The 22,710-nt window shown below is 35.6% G+C and overlaps 1 protein-coding gene across 19 annotated transcripts in view; it reads left to right on the plus strand.

Annotated features, from left to right (window-relative positions):
- The window catches only part of MIOS (meiosis regulator for oocyte development), a 42,261-nt gene extending 19,876 nt beyond the window's left edge, over nt 1-22,385 (plus strand). For 13 of the 19 annotated variants that reach the window (NR_163250.1, XM_047420507.1, XM_047420510.1 and 10 more), the window contains 6 exons: nt 1,739-1,804; nt 2,646-2,804; nt 8,221-8,373; nt 9,498-9,702; nt 19,183-19,312; nt 20,237-22,385. Coding sequence is in view for 18 of the 19 variants with exons in the window: in XM_047420507.1 (XP_047276463.1) it covers nt 1,739-1,804; nt 2,646-2,804; nt 8,221-8,373; nt 9,498-9,702; nt 19,183-19,312; nt 20,237-20,333 (810 nt within the window). In the remaining variant the exon portion in view is untranslated. The remainder of the gene's footprint in view (nt 1-1,738; nt 1,805-2,645; nt 2,805-8,220; nt 8,374-9,497; nt 9,703-19,182; nt 19,313-20,236) is intronic. The other 6 variants (XM_047420513.1, XM_047420516.1, XM_047420514.1 and 3 more) reach the window with 2 other exon arrangements.
- The last annotated feature ends 325 nt before the right edge of the window (nt 22,386-22,710 follow it).

Consider the following 22,710-nt stretch of genomic DNA (forward strand, 5'->3'; position numbering starts at 1 on the left):
AATGTTAGGACTTTATTTTTTAACTGTAATTAATCTTTTTTGTTAAACAGAAGACTTTAAATGTATCTTGGAGAGATAAAATAATGCTTTCACGAAGTGTTAGAGAATGATAGAGACTAGATAAACAAGTGGATTGTTAACTTCTGAATTGATAAAAGATGTATATTGTTTAAATATTAAATTTCTGCATTTTAAGTTAAGTGACCCATAATAAGTACTTTTCTTTCCCTTTTTTTTTTTTTTTTTTTTGTTGTTGTTGTTGTTGTTTTTGAGACAGTGTCTTGCTCTGTACCCATACTGGAGTGCAGTGGTGCAATGGCAGCTCACTGCAACCTCCACCTCCTGGGTTTAAGTGATTCTTGTGCCTCAGCCTCCCAAGTAGCTGAGACTGCAGGCATGCACCACCATGCCGGCTAATTTTTGTATTTTTAGTAGAGACGGGGTTTCCTCATGTTGGCCAGAAATATCAATTCTGGTCTCGAACTCCTGATCTTGAATGATCCACCTGACTTGGCCTCCCAAAGTGCTGGGATTACAGATGTGAGCCGCCATGCCCTGCCCCAGTATCCTTGTTTTGCTATACATAAATTTGAGTTATTAGATAACAGTCATCTTGAGTACGAAGTTCATATTTCCAAGCTGTTTCATTTATGTATTTAGTTATACTTTATGTATAAATAATTATAATTAATGTTGCTATTTAAAAAATGTTAATAGTAATGTGAAAAGTACTGAATTGGGAAGTCGGAAAATACAGGCCTGACTCCTTGCTCTGCCCCATTTACCATAGCCATTCAGTTAATTTTTTTGAGTATTACTTTCTCGAGATGTAAAATGGGACAGAATAATGTTTATAACTCTTTCCAGATCAAAATTTTGTAACATATGCAACTGAATCTAAGAGTTAAATCTAGTTATATGAAATATGTTCTCTCTTTAGGGCAAAACCATATTTTATCATAGAAAAAATATGCTAAGATATAGGTATCAACTGAAGTGATCTTACGGTTAAAAAAGTAAAATTTTCATAGGATGACTTCAGTGGAAATTGGATCTTTTTTCCACCCTTAAATTATTTTTACAAATTACAAAATTAATTGTACCTTCCTACATTTGTAGTAAATATATTTCAAAAGTGTTTCATGATATTGACGAGTTTACAAAAATTTTAGTTATTATAATGCCTCTGAAATCTTTGCCACAAACCACCTATATAACAACTTTAGCCACAAGAGTGTGTCTGTTTATGTTTTAAAACTTGTCACTTTGTACTTGGAAACGTATATTGGTATTCTTCTAAGTTGTGTACTGGTGTAGCCAATTCACAAATTTCTTAGACTTACTGATTAACTTAGTAGCCAAGGAAAGATTTCCTTAGTTCTCTAAAATTAATTTCTATGATGGAAAGATTATGTGGCATCTTAAATTTGATATACTGTGCATCATTGCTTATGTTTTATGTTATGTAAGACTGACCTGGATTTTTAAAAACTGAATTTGGCTAGTGTTTAAAAGGTAAATTTTTACTTTGCAAGGACAAAACCTTATTGCTGAATTTCCTAAGAGTTACATCAAGAAAGGCATCTCAGGCAATTAATGGCTCTGCAAGATAAATATAACTTATTAATAAATTTGGAAATAAACATATTCATTTTATTTATATAAAACATTCAGTCTCTGCAAAAATTTAAAACCAGTGCGCCTAGAAGTAACTCCTTGCTTTTTCTCTTCTTTCCAGTATGAAAACAAAGTTGCAGTACGTGACAGAGTGGCATTTGCTTGTAAATTCCTTAGTGATACTCAGGTGAAAACTGATTTAATTCCACATTTGAAGTAATTAATATGTACTGTCACAATTATGTAAGAAACTAGTCTTTATAATTACATATGTATGAGATTGATAAGCTAATTCTTCTAAAAAGTATGGTAAGAATTTATTAGATAAAAATATTTTGAAAATGTCTACCATAACTAAATTTATTTGTTTAGAATACTGACAATATTTTAGTATATTTCTTCTTTGGAGGGTAAGATTAGTTAGTAGGTAAAGATGTTAAACTCACCTCTTAGTGATGCTATGAAAGGGTTCCTCATTTTTACTACATTAAACAATGCTAAATGCCTATGCTGTGTATATAGTGAGGGGGAAATGCATGTAAACAACCAGTAATACTATATGCTAAGTACTATAATAATGAAAAATGCTGGGGAAAGATGGAGGAATCTTGGCAAGAGTTTGGGGTGGGTTGAAGTCAGGGAAGACCTAAAGGAAGTTATTCTTGATGATCTTAAAGTTCCCTTCCAACTCCAGATTTTGTGATTCTGTTACATACTACTATGATAGACAGCAAAAATTTCGCAGAATAATGAGGACAATTATCTTTAAAATAATAAACCATCTATAGTTCTTTTATGGATTAATTATCAACATAATAAATGCCTTTTTAAAATATTTTAAATGATTATGGATATTGCTTTGAAATTTGTAATAGATGCAGACTTCTTAGTTAAATATTTATATTTTAGTAAAGTCTTTTGTTTTAAAATGTTTTCCATTAGGAATGAAATTGTTCAAAATGTAGTTTTGAAGTACAAAATACATAGTGAAACAGATTGCTTTAGAAAAATCACTTTAAATTTTCCAGTTAAATAGATACATCGAAAAGTTGACCAATGAAATGAAAGAGGCTGGAAATTTGGAAGGAATTTTGCTTACAGGCCTTACTAAAGATGGAGTGGACTTAATGGAGAGTTATGTTGATAGAACTGGAGATGTTCAAACAGCAAGTTACTGTATGTTACAGGTCAGTGCAGTTTGACAGCAGCTTTTAAAAAAGTAACAATATTCTATATTTTCTTTCCTCAGTTGAAAGTAAATATGCACTTTTGCTTGCTTAGGATCTTTAGAAGGCATTTAGTTTTAACCTAATCAGTTGATCTACTGAAGACTTGTGCCTTATCTTACTGTCCCTAAGCCTCTTCATTGAGTTATCCAGTTTTTCCTTTCAGTCTGAGAAGGGCCAGTCTTGACTGCATCTGAATTTATGTAAAGCTCAAATTGAATAGAGAAACTCTCTTCAGTTTCTCCAATTGTTGACATAACTGCATCTTCTACAAGAAAGATTGGCTTTTCCTGATCTCAACTATAGTCTTACTTGAAGTGCTGAAGTCTAGTTATACCACAGCTCTCAGCTTTCATTTTCTCTTTTTATTATCATTGGGGGTATTTGGGGTAACCAATTTATCCATATTTTCTCAATTTTTACTGTCCAGTGATTAAAAACAGATTCCAGGCATAGATTGCTGTCTACTTTACTTTTGCTGGAAATAATGGTAAAATTTAGAGTATTCTCCTGAGATTTCCTGTAGCCCTCCAGTTGATCTTATCCTTACATGATGTTGGTACCCTCCTCTTTCCTGCCCTCATCCTCATATCACAATATGGTAGCATACTGTGTACTGGGTGAACACAGGAAAATGCCCCCTCTCCCACTGCACCTTCTTGTGCATATATAGAGACACTAGCCCACAGACCACAAAGTAAACTTACCTAATGTATCAAGCCACTGCCCATGGAAGAAAAAGTACCCTTCTATAACATTTTTTCTTGTTGAGATAAAATTATGTCTTTTAAATTAAAGTGTATGTATATGGCTGTAGATGGCTACAGAGTGCAAATGAGTTAGTAACTTCTTACCAAGATTTATAAAATATATTTAAAATGCAGACAATACAGATCTTGCTTTTTTAAAATCCAGTCTGATAATTGCTGCCTTTAATTGGAGTGTTTCCTTCATTTACATTTATATGGTCATGGTTAAGTCTACCATCTTGCTGTTTGTTTTCCGTTTTGTTTGTCCTTTTTCCTTTTGTTCCTATGTTCCTTTCCTACCTTATTTTGGGTTAATATTTCCATGTTTCATTTTATTGCCTCTATTGGCTTTTTAGCTATATCTCTTTTCATTATCTTTTTTAAAAGATGTTGCTGTAGATCTAACAATATGCATCCCTCAACTCATCAAAGTCAACATTTTACCCCCTCATACTTCACATTTCTCACCTGACACATCATGCTTTCTTTCTACTTTACCCTTTCTTATGTCACTCTGACACTTTCTGGGTTTTACTTCATGCTTCACAAATGTCACAACAGTGTGATTTCATTTACACATCCATTCCTTTGTCCTATTGTCATATATTTTACTTTTACAGATATTATATACTCCAACTTACAGTGTTTTTTTAACAGTCATTTGTCTTTTATGTAAATTATGAAAAGAAAACATGGGCTTTTATATTTATTCACTTATTTACCATTCCTGGCATTCTTTTTCCCTTCTGTAAATCCTATAGCATTCCTTGTAATATAGGTGACAGATTCTCTCAAATTTTAACTGAAAATGTCTATTTCACTCTTATTTTTTCTTTCAACACTTTAAAGATGTAGTTTCACTGTCTTCTGGCCTCTGTTGTTTCTGATGAGAATCAGCTGTTCTTATGCTTGTCTCCCTGTCTGTGATGTTTCATTTTTTGTTGGGTTTTTTTTTTTTTTTTGAGACAGGGTCTCGCTCTCTCACCCAGGCTGGGGTGGATCTCAGCTCATTGCAGCCTCCAGGCTCAAGCAATCCTCCCACCTCAGCCTCCCAAGGAACTGGACCACAGGTTCACGCCACCACTCCTGGCTAATTTTTTGTATTTTTGACAGAAATGGGGTTTCACCATGTTGCCCAGGCTGGTCTCAAACTCCTGACCTCAAGTGATCTGCCCGCCCCGGCCTCCGAAAGTGTTAGGATTACAGGCATGAGCCACCACGCCCAGCCTAAATTCTGATTTTTAATGTTTAAGTAAATTTGTTTTCCTTGCAACCATCAATAAAATGTTTTCTATTATTTATATGTAGGATAATCTTTTTGGGTTTCTTCCAAGATTTTTCCTTTACCTTTGATTTTTCAGTAGTATGACCTTAATGTACCTGGTTGTGGTTCATTTTATCCTGTTTGTGGTTCACTGAGCTTCTTGGATCTGGAAGTCTGTTTTTCAGCAGATTTGGGAAGTACGGGGATATTATTTCTTTAAATATTTTTTTCTGCCTCAATCTTATTCGGTTTTTCTTCTAGGACTCTTATTACATATGTATTAAACCACTTCATAGTGTTCGTAGGTGCCTGAGGCTCTATTCTTCTTCCTTCCATGTTTTTTTTCCCACTATTCTTCAAATTGGTTAATTTTTTTTTTTTTTAAGACAGAGTCTTGCTGTGTCACGCAGGCTGGAGTGCAGTGGCACAATATTGGCTCACTGCAACCTCCACCTCCCAGGTTCAAGCATTCGAGTGATTCTCATGCCTCAGCCTCCCGAGTAGCTGGGATTACAGGCATGTGCCACCACACCTGGCTAATTTTTTGTATTTTTAGTAGGACATGGTTTCACTATGTTGGCCATGCTGATCTTAAATGCCTGTCCTCAAGTGATCTGCCCGCCTCGGCCTCCCAAAGTGCTGGGATTACAGGCGCAAGCCGCTGTGCCTGGCCCAGATTTGTTGATTCTGTTGACTTATTCCATCACCTCTGTCTGCTGTTAAACTTCCCAGGGAATTGTTCATTTCAGTTATTGTGCTTTTCAGTTACAGAATCTTAACTTTGTTACAGTTTACTTTAGCAGTCCCCAACCTTTTTGCCCCAGGGACTTTTTAGCACCAGGGGGTTGGTTTAGGGATGATTCCAGCACATTGTATTTATTGTGCACTTTATTTCTATTATTATTGCACTGTAATACATAATGAAATAATTCTACAACTCACCATAATGTAGAATCAGTGGGAGCTCTGAGGTTATTTTCCTGCAACTAGATGGTCCCATCTGGGGATGATGGGAGACATTGACAGATCATCAGGCATTAGATTCTCATAAGGAGTATGCAGCCTAGATCCCTCACATGTGCAGTTCACAGTAGGGTTCACTGTCCTATGAGAATCTAATGCCACCACTGATCTGACAGGAGGCAGAGCTCAGGCACTAATGTGAGGGATGGGGAGCAGCCGTAAATACAGATGAAGCTTTGCTTATTGCCCTGTCACTCACCTCCTGCTGTGTGACCCAGTTTGTACCAGGCTGTGGACCTGGGGGTATATTGGGGGTTGGAGCCCCCTGGTTTACATTTCTCGGTTCAGATTCCTTATCTCTTCACTAATCAAAACACTATTTTCCCAAGCCCTTCTGATTTGGTCAGACTCAATCTCTGAACTATTTTCATTACAGATCATGTTGTGGCTTGATTTTAGGCTTTATTGGAGAGGATCTAGAGAAGACTTACTGTATATGTATTGACCAAATTCTTACTTAGTTTATCCCCTTCTTGCCATATAAGGGGAAAGAATGAGATGTGAAAACATCTTATTTTTCTGTGAATTTTCTTTTTAAACCAGGGATTATATGCTACTTTGGTACTTAGTTCTGCCTACTTGGTCATAATTAGGGCTAGAGTAGACCTCTACTTTTTTAAGAAATGAAATTGTAAGCTATGTGTTTCACATGTTCTTTTAGCTAAATTTAACTCTGGTAATTAACACTGAATTTAATAGATGAAAGATATGTTGCTTCAGTTTTTGATTGGATGTCTAAAGATTATATTAGCTCTTACAGATTTTTGTTCTTTTTTTTTATAAGTAAGATATACGCCAGGTTCTCTCTGAAATTTCACTTTTCTATTGGCCCTCAAGTAGGACTGAGAAAACTAACCTTCAGATTGATGCCAAAGCATCATTGGAAGTAGAGACTTTCTCTCCTTTCTCCATTATGTAAAGTTAAGGAAGATATCCTGGACAGGGCTGAAAGTCTTCTAAGAAAACCTAAAGCGGCCGGGCACGGTGACTCATGCGTGTAATCCCAGCACTTTGGGAGGCCGAGGTGGGCAGATTACCTGAGGTCAGGAGTTCAAGACCAGCCTGGCCAACATGGTGAAACCCCATCTCTACTAAAAATACAAAAATTAGGTGGTGGCACACCCCTGTAATCCCAGCTACTCAAGCAGGAGAATTGCTTGAGCCCGGGAGGCAGAGGTTGCAGTGAGCCGAGATCGTGCCACTGCGCTCCAGCCTGGCCGACAGAGTGAGACTCTGTCTCCAAAAAAAAAAAAAAAAGAAAAAGAAAAGAAAAAAAGAAAACCTAAAGCAAGCATAGATGAAATGTGGAATGTCACAGCTGCCAGGGAAAATACAACTTTAGGAAAATTATTACTGGCAAGAACTTGAAGATCTTAATGAGAAGAACTCTAAAGTAAATTTAACTAAAACAAGGTGTTGCTTTTAACTGTGGCTACGGGCAAAAGAACTAAGAAGGTATTTGGTTTGGTTTTGCTTTTTCTTGTTCTGTTATTATTTTTAAGGCAAGAAATGTATGTTTTAATTGAAGGCAAGAGTAAGAATAGACAGGTTTAACTTACAGATAAGTAGATATATAAAAGCAGCATCTCAGTTCACCGTGCATTGCTAGATAGGAAGGACCAAGCTAACTGTTAGTTCAGATGTGACTGAGCAATTTTGGTGTGCATTTGGACTTTTTTTTTTTTTTAAATGGAGTCTCATTCTGTCACCCAGACTACAGTGCAACGGCACAATCTCAGCTCACTGCAACTTCCGCCTCCCGGTTCAGGCATCAACCTCCCAAGTAACTAGGATTATAGGCGCCTGCCACCACACCTGGCTAATTTTTGTATTTTTACTAGAGACAGGGTTTCACCATGTTGGCCAGGCTGGTCTCGAACTCCTGACGTCAAGTGATCCGCCTACCTCGGCCTTCCAAAGTGCTGAGATTACAGGCATGAGCCATCACGCCCAGCCTGTATTACATTTGGATTTGATAGTAAACAGAGTTTGTGAACCCAGAGGTTTTTAATTGCTGGGACAAAGGGTATTCGTATCACTGTTTACAACATTCAACCACGAAGTTCTATTTTCTTAAACTTAACTAAAAGGTAGAGAATTAGACTTCCCTGGGCAGGTATGATATATAAAGTACATATTTATGTCATTAGTGGAACCCAGCTTGAGATAAATTAATGGAGCTTCCATAAATTTTCTTTATTCTCATTAGGAGCCAGCTTTTGGCAAAAAAAAAAAAAAAGGCCTATTTCTTCTGTGTTACTCATACTTACATGCTACCCAGAAGTCTCTGGCCTAGCCAGGAGATTTTAAACAATTGAAATAATTCATGTTTTCGTTTTAGGGTTCACCTTTAGATGTTCTTAAAGATGAAAGGGTTCAGTACTGGATTGAGAATTATAGAAATTTATTAGATGCCTGGAGGTTTTGGCATAAACGAGCTGAATTTGATATTCACAGGAGTAAGTTGGATCCCAGTTCCAAGCCTTTAGCACAAGTAAGTACATTGTTTTGGAGAAAATCAAATTGTAACATGTTGATGTTCAATTTAATAAGTTACTATTAGCTCATTATTTTGCTTATATTGAGTTCCCATTGATGTCTTTGTCTTTTGTAGACTGAACTTTGTCCTTGATCTTCCTGTCCTTTGGTTCTGCTTCTTGCTAACAATCATCTCAGTGGCTTGAGCTTTAGTCGCAGATAGAACAAACCACAGCAGGCCTGAAGTTTTCCAGTGTATTTCCAGCCCTTTCAGATTCTAAACTATTACATTATCTTATAAATTCCACTTGTGTATTAAGTTTTTTAGCATTATTTATGTGCAGTAAGGCAGGATTTGGGTTTTTTAGACTTTAGCAGTATTACCTATATCTATATGTTTAATTACACATGGAAATTTTTTTTTAGCATTAGTTTAAAAAATGAGATTGTTGTCACATAAGGTATACCACATTAAATCACTGTGTCTTAGTTCAGATATTAAATATTATGTTATCCTCAATATGAGCACTGGATGGTGCTATTTTCTTATTTTAGGAACTTGAGAAAGTGCTTATGTTAAAACCAGAGTGTTGATAAAATAGCATTACATGGTAGTACATGTTACTAATCTATATGATAAGTGATTAAGAGCCTAGCAATTTACGGTAAAAACAAAATGAACAGCTTCTATTGCTATTATTCTAAAAATTTAACTATTTACCATTATAAGTTTGTTAACTCTCTTTGTCTTAGGAACAGCGTTTTCTTTATAAGAAAATTTTGTTCAGAAGATTATATCACTGAACTGTGGTTTAGAAGTCATATTGGGATATTTTGTAATGGCCCAGTGTGAATTCTGAAGTCATTGTTATTTCTAAAATGTTGGAGTCTAAAGTTTGAGTTCTTCCACCAATTTCAGTGGTATTAGTAAGAATATAATTAAAAAGGAAGTACCCCAAAAATGTAATTGCTAGGTATAAATTTTAAATGAAAGCTAGTCAACCTTAGCAGATCAATTTTGAAATATAAAATAAAGTTTTTTAAAAGTATTTAAAAATAATTTGTTAGGCGCACACTAAGTTATTTAGCATTCCATTATGGTTTGCATTACATTTATTTTTTCTTTCATTTGTTTTGTAGGTTTTTGTGAGTTGCAATTTCTGTGGCAAGTCAATCTCCTACAGCTGTTCAGCTGTGCCTCATCAGGGCAGAGGTTTTAGTCAGTATGGTGTGAGTGGCTCACCAACGAAATCTAAAGTCACAAGTTGTCCTGGCTGTCGAAAACCACTTCCTCGATGTGCGCTTTGTCTCATTAATATGGGAACACCAGTTTCTAGCTGTCCTGGTATGACATAATTTTACAAAATACTTTTATGAACTGAAATGATTCTTACATAATTGAGTTAATGTTGCAAATAAAATACAAACTAGCTAGAGTTATTATTTCTAAGAAAGGGCAGTTTACTAGCTTGAAGGCTTTTATGTTCCTATAATTTATGAACTATGAAAACTAAAAGCAAAATCTATATCTATTGATACTTCAGGTAATTTCACAAGTTCTGACCAATTTAAAGTTTGTGAGAAAAACTTAAATATGAAATAATCTTAATATATTACCATTTTCTTATCACTGTTTCCACTAAGAGGAGTTCGTTCAAATTTGATTATTTAAAAGTCAGTATACCCGCACCTATTAACAGATACTTTGTATTTCTAAGGATCTTTTGACATCATTAAAGCACTTTGACATTTCTTCCTTCATCTTCAAAACCTACCTATAAAATACATGAGAGAAGGGTCAGTTGCAGTGGCTCATGCCTGTAATCCCAGCTCTTTGAGAGGCCAGGGTGGAAGGATTACTTGAGCCTGGGAGTTTGAGACCAGCCTGAGCAAAATAGTGAGACCCCATCTCTATAAAAAATTTTTTTGGCCGGACATGGTGGCTCACGCCTGTAATCCCAACACTTTGGGTGGCCGAGGCTGGCAGATCACAAGGTCAGAAGATCAAGACCATCCTGGCAAACATCGTGAAACCTCGTCTCTACTAAAAATACAAAAAATTAGCCGGGCGTGGTGGCACACACCTGTAGTCCCAGCTGCTTGGGAGGCTGAGGCAGGAGAATTGCTTGAACCCGGGAGGCAGAGGTTGCAGTGAGCCAAGATCATGCCACTGCACTCCAGCCTGGGCGACAGAGCAAGACTCTGTCCTAAATTTAAAAAAAAAAAATGTTTTTAATTAAAAAATAATAATAAATAAGAAAATACATAGAGAAAGTATTAGCCTAGAAGTCAGGTCCCTTGACTTCTAGATTTTGATGCTGCTTCTGCTGTTTGTCAGTTACCTAGTAAATTTATATATATATATATATATATATATATATATATATATATATATATATATGAAGGCAATACGTAATGTTTTAAATGTACATTTTAGTTTTGATTTAAATTTTAATCAAGGATTTTTATTTTATACATTGCATACTGACCACTCTTTTATGTTACTCTGGTCCTAATAAACAGAAAATAACAATTTGGAATATATACATATACACACACACACAGTGTTCGTTTTTGTTTGTTTGTTTGTTTTGTTTTTTGAGACAGGATCTCACTCTGTCACCCAGGATAGAATGCAGTGGCATGATCTCGGCTCACGGCAACCTCTGCCTACTGCCTCCTGCCTCCTGGGCTCAGGTGATCCTCCCACCTCAGCCTCCCAAGTAGCTGGGACCATAGGGTTTCACCCTGTTGCCCTGGCTGGTCTTGAACTCCTGAACTCAAGCGATCCACCTGCCTCAGCTTCCCAAAGTGCTGGGATTACAGGCATGAGCCACCATGCCCAGCCTATATTTTTTAATGGTTAGAAATATTAAGATTATTTTTTATTCTTTATAGTAAACATATGGGAAAAAATTTTGAGAATAGTAGATAATTAAATATCTTATACCTGGTGGCTGGAATTATTCCAGCTCTTTACCTAACTTGAAAATGATACTGTGGCACAATTTTCAATTAAAATCATTTTGGGTATTTGGCACACAGGTGTAATGAATAAAGAACTGGTTAGAGTGTCAGAATGTCTGTTTTAATTCTAACTCTGTGACATGCAGTCTGTGACACTGAGAGTTACTTGCACCTTCCTCTGGACTGGAGATCCTTTCTAGTGCAGACATTTTATAATTCTATTCTGTATCGTGTTCATTTAAGTAGTCTGCTTTATCATTACATTAACATTTATGAAAGACTTGCTGGTATCATTGGCTTAGCGATTATTTTTCCATCTAGATGCTTTTTTTAAAGAAATGAAGAGAATATGTAATGTTTTAAATGTACATTTTAGTTTTGATTTAAATTTTAATCAAGGATTTTTATTTTATACATTACATACTGATCACTGTTTTATGTTAACTCTGGTCCTAATAAACAGAAAATAACAATTTGGAATATCTACAACAATGAGAGCTCGAGGTAAAATATAGCATAAATAAGACATATATGTGTATGAACTGAGATATATAGAAATAATTAAATGTAACACATCTTTTGGACCATAAGCCTCAGGAAGCTATAAGGATTATTTGCATTCTTACACCTGGGCACTCTTCCTTTTTGCTGAATACCAGTTTTTCAATCTTTTCTATTTTTGAAATAGGTAAGAAAAGAAAATAATTTTCTAGAATTTGAAGAAAAATCTTAAAACATTTGAAATTCTTTGTTATGATGACTAATATAACGAATAGCACTCAGGTTTATCAAATATTAACATTTTTCCATATTTGTTATAGAATTTTTTTCCATATTTGCTACAGAAATAATTTCTTTATATATATAATACATATTTGAACACTGATTTTACTTGATACATTAATATAATGCTGATGTGCTGAGATGAATAAATCAAAGAACCTCTTGGAGCTCTTGGTGTGCAATAAGCATAGTTAACGAATATAAAATAAGTGATATTTTCTAGAAAATAAATACTGGTCTACAATGCCTTATCTGTCATTTCAAAGTCTCTAAAAAGATCTGAAAATCCAATGCCTTTTAAAAATAAAATTACGGTAATCTCATTTGACCACAAAACCTGTTCAGAATTGATGTGAGGCTATTAAGATATTTATTTCTCTTATTTATTAGTGAATATTCATCTTTCACTACAGAAATACTAACGAGTTTGATTACAGGGTGCTTTAGACTTCCCTCAAGGTGTACATATTTGCTACTTTTTTCTAAAATCCCAAACATCCTGGATTCTGAAACACATCTAAACCCCCAACATGAATTAGGACTATTATATAAGGAAAGAATTAGGAATTTTGAAAGTGGGAAATATTACTTCTATCTGAAGGATATCTGGAAAGCTTTAGGAGGAAGTTACCATTTAAGCCAGTCCTTTAAAGTTTGGTAGATTTAATATATGAAGATTGCAGGGAAGCCGTCCAGGTTGCAGACCAAGTGTAAAAAACATGAACTAGGGTGAAGAGATTGGTAAGTATTATGATAAGTACAGGGGGTGTTTGGGAAGAGCAAGTGTATTGTTGTGAAAGGACCTAGGAAGTGAACTGATAAGAAACAGTAGGAAAATTAGGGAGAGCCTGAATATGATCTTTAAAGGCATTGCTGAGCTAAGTTAGAGAATAATCACTCTTTATAATAGCAAAGACATAAAATCAACTTCAATGCCCATCAGTGGTGGACTGGATAAAGAAATGTGGTACATACACAGCATAGAATACTATGCAGCCATGTCTTTTGCAGCAGCATGGATAGAGCTGGAGGCCATTATCCTAAGCAAACTAACACAGGAACAGAAAACCAAATACCACATGTTATAAGTAGGAGCTAAACATTGAGAACATATGGTCATAAAGAAGGAATAACAGACACCAGGGCTTACTGGAGGGTGCTAGGTGGGAGGAGGATCGAAAAACTACCTGTCGGGTACTATGTTTATTACCTGGATGATGAAATAATCCGTACACCAAAACCCCCATGACACGCAATTTACCTGTATAACAAACCTGCACATGTACCCCTGAAACTAAAGTAAAAGTTTAAAAAAAAGAAAAAGAAGCAAATTATTTTTTTTTGGCATGTGAAATCAGAAAAGTCCATTTCCAAAGTAAAACAGGATCTAATAGAAATCAAGTGCTGGATAATTGGATAAAGAGTCAAGACCCATCAGTGTGCTGTATTCAGGAAACCCGTCTCACGTGCAGAGACACACATAGGCTCAAAATAAAGGGATGGAGGAAGATCTACCAAGCAAATGGAAAACAAAAAAAGGCAGGCGTTGCAATCCTGATCTCAGATAAAACAGAGTTTAAACCAACAAAGATCAAAAGAGACAAGGCCATTACATAATGGTAAAGGGATCAGTTCAACACGAAGAACTAACTATCCTAAATATATATGCACCCAATACAGGAGCACCCAGATTCATAAAGCAAGTCCTTAGTGACCTACAAAGAGACTTAGACTCCCACACAATAATAATGGGAGACTTTAACACCCCACTGTCAACATTAGACAGATCAACGAGGCAGAAAGTGAACAAGGATATCCAGGAATTGAACTCCGCTCTGCACCAAGCGGACCTAATAGACATCTACAGAACTCTCCACCCCAAATCAACAGCATATACATTCTTTTCAGCACCACACCACACCTTTTCCAAAATTGACCACATAGTTGGAAGTAAAGCACTCCTCAGCAAATGTAAAAGAACAGAAATTATAACAAACTGTCTCTCAGACCACAGTGCAATCAAACTAGAACTCAGGATTAAGACATTCACTCCAAACCGCTCAACTACATGGAAACTGAACAACGTGCTCCTGAATGACTACTGGGTACATAACGAAATGAAGGCAGAAATAAAGATGTTCTTTGAAACCAACGAGAACAAAGACACAACATACCAGAATCTCTGGGACACATTCAAAGCAGTGTTTAGAGGGAAATTTATAGCACTAAATGCCCACGAGAGTAAGCAGGAAAGATCTAAAATTGACACCCTAACATCACAATTGAAAGAACTAGAGAAGCAAGAGCAAACACATTGAAAAGCTAGCAAAAGGCAAGAAATAACTAAGATCAGAGCAGAACTGAAGGAAATAGAGACACAAAAGACCCTTCAAAAAATCAATGAATCCAGGAGCTGGTTTTTTTTTTGAAAAGATCAACAAAATTGATAGACTGCTAGCAAGACTAATAAAGAAGAAAAGAGAGAAAAATCAAATAGACGCAATAAAAAATGACAAAGGGGATATCACCACCGATCCCACAGAAATACAAACTACCATCAGAGAATACCATAAACACCTCTATGCAAATAAACTAGAAAATCTAGAAGAAATGGATAAATTCCTGGACACATACACCCTCCCAAGACTAAACCAGGAAGAAGTTGAATCTCTGAATAGACCAATAACAGGATCTGAAATTGAGGCAATCCTTAATAGCTTACCAACCAAAAAAAGTCCAGGACCAGATGGATTCACAGCCGAACTCTACCAGAGGTACAAGGAGGAGCTGGTACCATTCCTTCTGAAACTATTCCAATCAATAGAAAAAGAGGGAATCCTCCCCAACTCATTTTATGAGGCCAGCATCATCCTGATACCAAAGACTGGCAGAGACACAACAAAAAAAGAGAATTTTAGGCCAATATCCTTGATGAACATTGATGCAAAAATCCTCAATAAAATACTGGCAAACCAAATCCAGCAACACATCAAAAAGCTTATCCACCATGATCAAGTGGGCTTCATCCCTGGGATGCAAGGCTGGTTCAACATACGAAAATCAATAAATGTAATCCAGCACATAAACAGAACCAAAGACAAAAACCACATGATTATCTCAATAGATGCAGAAAAGGCCTTTGACAAAATTCAACAACCCTTCATGCTAAAAACTCTCAATAAATTAGGTATTGATGGGATGTATCACGAAATAATAAGAGCTATCTATGACACACCCACAGCCAATATCATACTGAATGGACAAAAAACTGGAAGCATTCCCTTTGAAAACTGGCACAAGACAGGGATGCCCTCTCTCACCACTCCTATTCAACATAGTGTTGGAAGTTCTGGCCAGGGCAATCAGACAGGAGAAGGAAATAAAGGGCATTCATTTAGGAAAAGAGGAAGTCAAATTGTCCCTGTTTGCAGATGACATGATTGTATACCTAGAAATCCCCATTGTCTCAGCCCAAAATCTCCTTAAGCTGATAAGCAACTTCAGCAAAGTCTCAGGATACAAAATCAATGTGCAGAAATCACAAGCATTCTTATACACCAATAACAGACAAACAGAGAGCCAAATCATGAGTGAACTCCCATTCACAATTGCTTCAAAGAGAATAAAATACCTAGGAATCCAACTTACAAGGGATGTGAAGGACCTCTTCAAGGAGAACTACAAACTACTGCTCAAGGAAATAAAAGAGGATACAAACAAATGGAAGAACATTCCATGCTCATGGGTGGGAAGAATCAATATCATGAAAATGGCCATACTGCCCAAGGTAATTTATAGATTCAGTGCCATCCCCATCAAGCTACCAATGACTTTCTTCACAGAATTGAAAAAAACTAAAGTTCATATGGAACCAAAAAAGAGCCCGCATTGCCAAGTCAATCCCAAGCCAAAAGAACAAAGCCGGAGGCATCACACTACCTGACTTCAAACTATACTACAAGGCTACAGTAACCAAAACAGCATGGTACTGGTACCAAAACAGAGATATAGACCAATGGAACGGAACAGAGCCCTCAGAAATAATGCCACCTATCTACAACCATCTGATCTTTGACAAACCTGAGAAAAACAAGCAATGGGGAAAGGATTCCCTATTTAATAAATGGTGCTGGGAAAACTGGCTAGCCATATGTAGAAAGCTGAAACTGGATCCCTTCCTTACACCTTATACAAAAATTAATTCAAGATGGATTAAAGACTTAAACGTTAGACCTAAAACCGTAAAAACCCTAGAAGAAAGGCAATACCATTCAGGACATAGGCATGGGCAAGGACTTCATGTCTAAAACACCAAAAGCAATGGCAACAAAAGCCAAAATTGACAAATGGGATCTAATTAAACTAAAGAGCTTCTGCACAGCAAAAGAAACTACCATCAGAGTGAACAGGCAACCTACAAAATGGGAGAAAATTTTTGCAACCTACTCATCTGACAAAGGGCTAATATCCAGAAGCTACAATGAACTGAAACAAATTTACAAGAAAAAAACAACCCCATCAAAAACTGGGCAAAGGATATGAACAGACACTTCTCAAAAGAAGACATTTATGCAGCCAAAAAACACGTGAAAAAATGTTCATCATCACTGGCCATCAGAGAAATGCAAATCAAAACCACAATGAGATACCATCTCACACCAGTTAGAATGGCGATCATTAAAAAGTCAGGAAACAACAGGTGTTGGAGAGGATGTGAAGAAATAGGAACACTTTTACACTGTTGGTGGGACTGTAAACTAGTTCAACCATTGTGGAAGTCAGTGTGGCGATTCCTCAGGGATCTAGAACTAGAAATACCATTTGACCCAGCCATTCTATTACTGGGTATATACCCAAAGGATTATAAATCATGCTGCTATAAAGACACATGCACACGTATGTTTATTGCAGCACTATTCACAATAGCAAAGACTTGGAACCAAGCCAGATATCCAACAATGATAGACTGGATTAAGAAAATGTGGCACATATACACCATGGAATACTATGCAGCCATAAAAAATGATGAGTTCATGTCCTTTGTAGGGACATGGATGAAGCTGGAAACCATCATTCTCAGCAAACTATCGCAAGGACAAAAATCCAAACACCGCATGTTCTCACTGACAGGCGGGAATTGAACAATTTGAGAACACATGGACACAGTAAGGGGAACATTACACATCGGGGACTGTTGTGGGGTGCGGGGAAGGGGGAGGGATAGCATTAGGAGATATACCTAATGCTAAATGACGAGTTAATGGGTGGAGCACACCAACATGGCACATGTATACATATATAACAAACCTGCACGTTGTGCACATGTACCCTAAAACTTTAATAATAATAAAATTTAAAAAAAAATAAAGTGCTGGCTAGTGGCTCGAGTATCTAAACCTCCCTGGTGCTTTGCCTGCAATCAGAGATTGCATCCATCCATCATGCTTTGTGATTCAAATAGCTGGAATTTCTATAAGCTTATTTAACTGAGAGTTGATATTTTTATACTCAATTGTGCTTTGAAGATTAGAAATCTGTTGAAACAGTTCTAACATCATTATAAACATTATAAATATTATTTATTCAACAAATGTTTATTTGGTACCTATTGTTCCAAGTGCTAGAAATGTTACAGTAAAGAAGACAAAAATCGCTGCCCTTACAGAATTTAACTTCTGGACAATGACACATTTTTTAAAAGTTAGATTATCTACTGGTTTCCTTCATTTTCTTCTTACATTATGAGTTAATGCATAAGTGAAACTCTAGTTTCGCCTAAAGTGTTCTGTGGCACTTGTCTTCATAATTCACTATAAATCTTTTAAAATTTGAAGTCATTTGATCTTAAGCCTTTATACTTGGCAGTGAGATAGACCTTAATACTTCCAGTTTCGTCAGAAAAATATAAGGATATGCCTTGTTCTGATTCAGTCTGTTATCTGTTTATGTTAGAAGTTACAAAAACAAAGTGACAAGCACTAATGAGAGCTTTACACAAAGGTGTAAAGTAGTGTACATATCAGATCTATATTTTATTTATCTCTTCCCCCTTTCCTTTTTGCCCTCTCATTATTAATTGTTGGTGACCCTTTCAGGAGTAATTCTAGTGTGTTTACATCTTTAATCATTGAATTACTTACACATCCTTTCACCTCATATCATTAGCAAAAACGGATATTTTTTAAAACTATTCCCGACTGCAAGATTATCCTTTTGGTCATGAAAGCGTGACCTGCAATGGTCCAAGCAAAATTTTTAACATAGTTATCGATGCATAATGTCTTTATAGATAGCAATTAAGTAAAAATATTAAGTCTAATTAAGCAATTGTTTAAGTTACACAAGTCTCATGAAGTGCATTGGGAAACTTTCTGCTTTTTCTCTTCTTTGAAAGGGCTTGTACAGATGAGAATTACCTGTCCCTTGATAGATTTTTTTTTTTTTTTGAGACAAAGTCTTGCTCCATCACCCAGCCTGGAGTGCAGCAGTGCAATCTCGGCTCCCTGCAGCCTCCAATCCCCAGATTTAAGCAATTCTTGTGCCTCAGCCTCCCAAGTAGGTGGGACTACAGGCATGTGTCACCACCCCCGGCCAATTTTTGTATTTTTAACAGAGACGGAGTTTCACCATGTTGGCCAGACTGGTCGTGAACTCCTAGCCTCAAGTGGTCTGCCCGCCTCAGCCTCCCAAAGTGCTGGGATTACAGGCATGAGCCATCACACCCAGCCCTACCTGTTCCTTGAATGTTAAGTAAAATTCACTTGTAAACTGGGCCTGGTATTTTCCTTGTGGAAAGATTTTAAACTACTGATTTGGTCTCTCCAAAGTTTTAAATTTAGATTGTTTCTTAGTGGGTTTGGATTTTTTTTTCCATTTTTATATTGGCTATTAAAAATGTAGGGGAGCTTCTGTCATTCAGTTTCGCTTCATCTAAACTAGAACCTACCATCAAAATTGCTATTTCAATATGATGTGTGATTCATATTTGGAACACAGTTTTAGAAATGCTTTTTGAAAGTAACTTTAAATAAAATATTATGATATAGTTAATGAAGATCATTTTATTTTGTCATAGGAGGAACCAAATCAGATGAAAAAGTGGACTTGAGCAAGGACAAAAAATTAGCCCAATTTAACAACTGGTTTACATGGTGTCATAATTGCAGGCACGGTGGACATGCTGGACATATGCTTAGTTGGTTCAGGTAATCAGCACATTTCTTCTTTGATAGGCTTGGAGTTATGGGGGATAACACAGATTGCTTCTAAATAGTTTGGGTTTATCTATTAGCATTTAGCCAAAGTATGAATTTTATTTTTTACTGTCACTCATGTTAACAAAGGTGGTGTGAACATGTCGTGATTAGATATCCTATGTAACCTTAAACTATAAAGGTAATACTTATGTAAGAACTAATTTAAATGTTTTGTATGAGTTAAATGTTTGAATAACATTATTTAACTTTATTCGGGGAGAGGATATGTTTACAGTTTTTACACTGAATATTCTGTAATTTACCATGCAATTGAATTACTAATGAAATGTTAAAAGAGCATATCATACCTCTGCCTCAGTTCTCTTCTAAGTAAGCTTTTTATGTAGTCACGCAATTAAGACTGTCAAGACATATTTGAATTTCATTTTGAATGGTGCCAGTGGCCCTGTGCTCCTGGTTGATACAGCATTTATACCCAGTTTGTCTTACTAGCTAATTTAAACTCTGAGCACATCCCTGTCACCTTCACAACTATAAATGAAATATCTTGCCATATATGTAGAAAGTAAAAGGTATGTGTTTCTTAACTTCTCCCTAAACTTCAGCTTGGCAGTAGTTTATAATTTGATGCTTTTGATGCTTTTTTTCTCTGGGTTTTAGTTTCTATATTTTTCCAAATGCCATTTTGAAAAGTTGCATTATAGATAGATATAAGTAAACAGGTGGGCACAGTGGTGCACACCTGTAGTCCCAGCTACTCAGGAGGCTGAGGCAGGAGGATCACTTGAGCCCAAAAGTGTGCGTACAGCCTGGGAAATATAGGGAGACCCTGTCTCTTAAAAAATAAATAAATAAATAAATGTATGTCTGTCTAATTTGGATTTTTAACTGTTATTTGACCTATTTTTTTAGGGACCATGCAGAGTGCCCTGTGTCGGCATGCACGTGTAAATGTATGCAGTTGGATACAACAGGGAATCTGGTACCTGCAGAGACTGTCCAGCCATAAAATGTTACCACCTTAAGAGAACCCTTCAAGTGTGGAGCTTTCTAGTAGGTGTCCTTCATAGCTCAGAAACATACCTCAGAACAAGCCATTCATGACTTACCTGTAATGGGAAAATAAATCATTCTATCAGATCAGCAGTTTTGATGTTTGAGTGATTTTGATATGCTTCACAGAGACAAATGCTGCCAAAATAAACATCGAAGTATAGACATGAGTTCTGTTCAGCAGGTTGAAAAGTCTGATTTAGAAAAACTTTCTAAGTTTTGGTTGAAATTATGAACACTCTAGAAGCAGAATTTCTGGAAGAGCCAAGAACAGACTTTGAGCCTATATCTTCAAAGCTGAAACTGGATATCTTTCAATAAAATATGTGCACTTTTAAAATAAAATGACTAATTCTGTGATTCAGACAATAGTTTTAAGTTCAGCTGTGCTTAGATTTCTTTCAGATTAATTTAAAATTACAGATTTTTACTTTTAGAATTGCAGAGCCCCTATCCCACACTGGAGAATATTTTTTATTACTGTCTGTTATATATGTGTCTATGTGTGTGTGTATATTTATGTGTGTATGTATAAATATGTATTTTTTAAAGGAGCCTTTTCCCTCCTTTGATTTTAAGATAAGCAATCTTTTGGCATAACATTATCGTCTTCCTAGAAAAGCCAAGATGAAGAATCTATCTTACAACTTTTTCTCTTCAGTAGAGAAAAACATGTACCATTTCAGGTGAACATACAAAATTTTCACTTTCTACCTTTTGCCTTCCAATGTCCTGATTTGTCTTCAAAGGTTTTTCTCCATATTAATTTGTCATCTTATCCTCATCACCTGAGAACATTTTACTGCATACAAAGTCTATGCAAGATTATATGTAACTAGCCATTTAGTATAATCTATGTCAGTGTTTCTGTGCTGTCAAATTCCGTCCTGATTTGGAATACCATACCTTGTTCTTTCCAAGGTAGACTAGGAAGTGTTGGGGAAATGGGGTCACTTCAGAGACCATTTTAGATGTAAGTTTTTAAATGTAAGTGTTACTGGGGCTAAGTCAGGTACTTTATTTAAAACATTTTTTTTTCTCATTTCATAGCTAGATAGTTGTAAGAGAAATACAAAGAATTTACAAGATGCTTCTCTGTCATCTGCCATATGCAGAGGGACTGAACTAGGAATTTTGTAGTTGAAGCTGTGTTCATAAAGAGTAAATCTTATTTTATAGATTTTGGAGAAATAAAACAAGAATTTTAAGAGCTTTCGTATTAGCAGTTTTGCCTTATAAAAACTAAGATTTGTCAGATTAGTTTGAGGTGTAACCTAAATATTAAAAGTAGATTAAATTTATTTTTTACCTTGAGTGTCTGATACATAAAACCCTTTTCTAGGAAAACATTGGAAGTAGTACATATTTACTCTAAATGTCTCACCTGCATGACAGTCTTTTCAAATGAAAGACATGGTAATTGCAATTTTTTTTTAAAGATTGCTATTAAGGGTACTTTTTCCAGCCTTCATTTGAGTAAATCTTAATTGATTTCATTTTATTAACATATACCCTTTACCTTTAATATTTCATTTGAAGTGTTCCTTTCAAACTTACTGTCTTAAATATGAAAGTCAGCTTTAAGTAATGTCAGACTCATATGCATTTTCATTCTCATTAGCTAAAGTAAAATGTAAAATTATCTCAAATAGTTACAAGTTTTGGAAATACAGTATAAAACATGAATGTAAAGTCTATTATGTAATATGCTTATTTGTAATCCTAATATATGAGGGTGACATTTTTAAGATTGTATGTATGTGTCAACCTCTTAAATGTTTTCTGTGAAGCCCAAACATGCAGTTTATGTCTCTGGTGTCTGTTTTGCATTTCAGTGTGCATGGACAATCAAATTATTTTCTCATTTTTATCACTAAGTCACTGGTATTTGGGTTTATAAACTCAACAAGATACTTTACCTAAACATGATCAATAGATGTGTTTATTAAAAGTGTTTTTATTATTTTTAAAAGATTGAATAAATCTGGGTTGAAGTCATTGTATCTAATCAAGAAATTATGATTCCTTTACAAATAATCCACGTGAAGTAATATTGGTGCTTTTTTTGATGACAGACTTCATACTTAATATTAGAAGTAACATTCCTTTTAGGCTCTGTTTTTCAATTCAACCCACTTTCCAGAATAGTTATTATCCTTTAAAATGGTATATTTTAAAAGTAGCTTCCCATTGTCAATGCTTCACATAGTAAGTATTTAAAAGAATGTAGTTCTTCATTTAATTAGATGACTCAATTTCAGTCATTCATTTGACTGCAAGTAGTTAAAGCATGGTCTTTGAAACATAAATTATAATCCTAGCCTCGGGATCTT

The sequence above is a fragment of the Homo sapiens genome, chromosome 7 (genome assembly GCF_000001405.40).
Source record: "Homo sapiens chromosome 7, GRCh38.p14 Primary Assembly".
NCBI classification, from domain to species: domain Eukaryota; kingdom Metazoa; phylum Chordata; class Mammalia; order Primates; family Hominidae; genus Homo; species Homo sapiens.